Source organism: Homo sapiens, chromosome 8 (assembly GCF_000001405.40).
Source record: "Homo sapiens chromosome 8, GRCh38.p14 Primary Assembly".
NCBI lineage: Eukaryota > Metazoa > Chordata > Mammalia > Primates > Hominidae > Homo > Homo sapiens.
Genome location: NC_000008.11, coordinates 61,873,758 through 61,878,169, shown reverse-complemented (window position 1 = coordinate 61,878,169; position 4,412 = coordinate 61,873,758). Strand labels below are relative to the sequence as shown.

General features: G+C 36.3%; 2 annotated features.

The window, feature by feature from the left end:
• Positions 1,148 to 1,292: an enhancer, noted in NCBI's record as "145 bp enhancer 61 fragment used in the MPRA reporter construct; PK_construct_3919". NCBI's record gives its function as "activates an SV40 promoter by MPRA in HepG2 cells {active_cell/tissue: HepG2}" and the evidence as "EXISTENCE:reporter gene assay evidence [ECO:0000049][PMID:23512712]".
• Positions 1,215 to 1,225: a transcriptional cis regulatory region, noted in NCBI's record as "NFE2L2 motif; enhancer activity is reduced when this motif is scrambled". NCBI's record gives its function as "necessary for full MPRA enhancer 61 activity {active_cell/tissue: HepG2}" and the evidence as "EXISTENCE:site-directed mutagenesis evidence [ECO:0005528][PMID:23512712]".

Sequence of the window (4,412 nt, the reverse complement as noted above, 5' to 3'; positions counted from 1 at the left end):
AATCATGTTGCTTACTCCTTTAACAACATATGTCTATAAGAAGAGCAACAAATTACTGTGAATCCTTGTACTACAGATAATATAGTTGCCAGTTGTGCCATTTTGTCTGGATAGAGTGCATGGTTCTTTCTAATATTACCCTGATTTCCTTTGGGAAGAGTAACTCTAAGTGTCTGCTTTTCACTGCAGAAGCACAAGCACAAATAAAACAGATCTTTTCTTTCCCTGCACATTTCCACTATTTGACCAAATGATCCCTACCTCCTGGGAATTTTCATCTTAACCAAGTTAGGTGGTGGGAGGGGGAGGTTGAAGGTATTTCATCATTCTTATAGACAGTGGGGATTCCTGCCCAGGCTGTTAATGGTTAGAGACGGTTATTGTGCTTCCTGTTTCCTGTTTCCTGTTATATGCTTGTATGTTTCCTTCTGTTTCTCTATTGGCTTCTTCCTGTATTCAAACCTGGTATGTTACTTCATATTAATTCTATGAGACCCCACATATGCGATCACACACACACACACACACACACACACCCCTACAAACACACACCAATATCCTTTCTCACAAGCAAATCCCTCTTGCTCAAGTCAGAGTTCATTTCTGGTTTTTGTGGCAAATAACCCTAACTGGTACTAAGTCATGATTCTAAATCTTATGGAAAAGTGGTAACCAAAATCCTAGTGGAATGTGTATTCGGCACAGTCTTCAAAAAGTGAATATTCACAGTTAAGTTTGTGAATAATGAAAGTGTGGTATGACAGGTGTTAGAGAGTACAAGAGTTCATGCAACATCTGAGAAATATAGTCATGTTTTCTTTGACACTTTCATTTTTATATAAACTGTTATAGTATGCTGCCTTCATTTTCAAAAATTTGAAATGTTGAATATGTGTGGTAAATATGTAGCAGGCTCAACCAAAATACATATTCTCTTAAATTCTTTTTTTCTCTTCTTTTCACTTCTTTTAGTAGTATTATAACACTTGTAGAATATCTTCTAAACTCTACTTCATTTTATAGAACTTGATTTATAAATAAATATCTTTTATCCTCTACTCATGGCCATAAAGTGTCAGGTAGAATGAGTTATACTCTTGAGACTAGGGCATTATGTTTCAAAATTAGCTGGAGTTGACCTTGCTTGTTCTAGTTTCTTTCCCTTACAGAACTTTGATCTTGTGTGCCTGAGAGCTATTGGATGAAGCAAGAAATGCTGACTCATGCTGAGTTGGCATGACATTAATGTATTATTCAGAAATTCAATTGATTTTAAAAAATTGAAAGGTTATTGGCCAAGAGGGCCAAGTACTTGCATCCTCTAAACACATTCTCCCCATATAAGCAAACTATAAGCACAGCAAAATTATTATCCAAATGTTGCCTTGTACATGTGGAACTGGGATGGGATGACCAGTTTTATGATTTAGATATTTGGTGACATCAAACTTTCAGAGGAAAATTCCTGCATCTTCTAAGCCTGGCCACCTTCTTTCTAGAACAAGGTTCAGGTAGGCACTGCTCAAGTGTGCCACAGTGACTCTATCTCTGCTTTTCTGAATAACTCATTTTTTAAATAAATATCTTCAATCAAATCTTTGGCACAGGAATTCTGTCAATTTGAAATATATTTGTATATTTTGGCCTATTATATATCAAAGCCAAACTAGTTGGGCAGAATCTTATTTTTTCTCTTATATACCATGTAAGCAGACTTTCTTACTAACATTTTCTTCTTAATTCATTAAGAGACTTATAACTAATTGATTGAGTGCCCACAGCTGGCAAAGTGTCAGACATTTGACCTGTATTATCTTACTTCAACATATGTGAGGCAAATAGTATGATTCTTAAGTTAGAGTAATGGAAACTTAAGCTCAAAGAGGTCGTGCAACTTGCTCAAGGTCAAATATCTAATTAGTAATAAACATAGGATTCAATATCATATTGCTATGAATTCAACACCAATGCCTTTTCAACATGTATTGACTAGGAGAACATATTAAGATGGGCTTTCTGTTCTCCTATTATTTCTAAAACTATTGCAGTGCCAAAGTCTTGATAGATGGAGAAAATTAAAATTCTTAATTGTGTTGATTATTATTGAAAGATGTTAGTTTATTATAGTATATATTTCCTTTGTGTCTGTATTGGGCAAGTCTCTGTGTTACATAGTGTAGAGTGAAAAACAAAACATATCATATTCTTAAGACAGGAAAATAAAAAAATGAAACTCAACAATATATAAGGAAGAGTGTTGTAAACTGAAAAGCACAGTAAAAATGTGAAATGATTTTTTAACTATCTGTAGCAATAGCCAACTAGTCATAACTACTAATCTTCCTGAAATTCTGTAAATTATAAAATATTTCACAATTCAACATTCTTTTTATGTATAAATAAATCAATATTTCCAAATTAACCTAATGGATATTGTTATGAAATGAATGTTATGTCCCTTCAAAATGCATATGCTGAAACTGCAACCCTCATTGTTGCTGTAGCTAGAGATAGGGCTTCTGTGAAAGTAATTAAGGTTAAATGAGTCATGAGAGTGACACCCTTATTCCACAGGATTAGAGGCCTTCTAAAAAGAGTTGCTTCGGAGCTCACTGTCTTTCAGCCATGGGAGAATATAGCAGGAAGGAAGCAGTCTTCAAGCAAAGAAAAGTGCCCGTGAAAGAAGAGCTGAACCCTGCTAGAATATTGATCTTGGACTTTCCAGCCTCCAGAACTGTGAGAAAATAAATTTATGTTGTTTAAACCATGTAATCTATAGTGTTTTGTTACAGTACCTTGAGCGACTAATACAGATATTAATGACTATAAAGTCAAATTTTATTGTACACCATAACTCTAACATTTTCGTTGACTCCTTTATTCTAGTGATCACTTTTATATCATACTAAAGTCAAATTATTTTTAAAATTCCCAAAGCATTATAGCTTGGTTTGGGTAGGCACTAGGAAAAATCAATTGCAGGCAGCCAGGCTTACAACATTTCCACCAGTGGTGGATCAGATGCCTACAACATCTCTGTGGGTAAACACTGAAGTCAGAGATCCTGAAAGGTTGCTGGGCTAGAACAGATGTGAACCTGAGCCAACAGCTATCGTTCCCCCTCCCTCACTCATAAAAAGCTGTGAGGTACACTTTCAGGACCACTAGGCAATGGTGATACAGGAGGTGATGGTGACCTGTAGGAAGTTCCCCATGGGAACAGGTGATCACATCATCTCAGCTTCATCAAATATACCTAGCATCATTAATAGACCACAATCAGAATTGTGCTTTTTACTTAGACCATTTTCAACCCAAATTGCTCTTCCTGTTCACTCAATAGGCATTTGCTGTGCAAGATGACACAGGAAATTGCTTTGTTGAAAAATCATCAGACTCAGACCCTCATGGTAAGGTGCTTTAAGTCTATTAGGTAATGGATATATACATCACAAATACAATACACAACAAAGAGTTAAAAATGTTGTAATTAGGGAGCACAGAGAAGGAAAGCCCAATGTGCATCAGAAATCACTTTCTCTGAACCTATTTGAGCAAATGTCACAGCCACTTTCCCACTCTCAGGGGCTGGGTTAATTTGAACATAAGATCAGTTCACAACATGGATTAAGTTCATTAGGTCATCACCATAGTCCATTTGGTATTGGGATGATTCTGTTCAAGATACTGCAGAAGGTTGTGTGCTTTGTACACTGACTAATGTGAAAAAGCCTCAGGACATTTCAAGAAAAATGCTCAAAAGAACACATTTTGTGCCTAATGCATTTCCTACATCTCACAGGTCCCAGGGTGCAGACTCAGTGACACTAATGGGAGCTTTTATCCCCCACTTCCACTGCACACCATACATTGCATTGGCAGGTGTAATGCTGAGTACATTTCTTGGGTAGTTACATTCAAACATACTTCTGGGGCTTGTTATTCTGTTTTTGTTTTTAAATGAAAAGAGAAATCGTTTGACATTTTTTTCTTTTGCCTTCTATAATAGCTTTATTTACTTTAAAGTATCCACAAACAAAAATTCCTTTTCTTGCTGCTATGGAAATTATACTCTGAACAAGCATCCCAAGCAGTAGAGAAGTCTCTCTGATATCTGCATGAGGGGAAAAATAGGGAGCTAACATTTACTAATTGCCTCTTATACACCAGTTTTAGTATCTTCACACAGGAAATATACTGACCAGGTCCTTTGGTTCTTAATCCTCTGTTTACAGTCTCTGGACTGGGACCTAAGACATGCCTTAGAGATTTTCCCCAAAATGACCCCTAGCTGACATGGCCTATGGTGCTGGCCTGTGCCTCCTTGACATAGCTGACCTAGGTCAATGTCTTAGTCTTTCTGTGCTCTTATAACAAAATATCTTAGACCAGCCAATATATGAATATAAGAA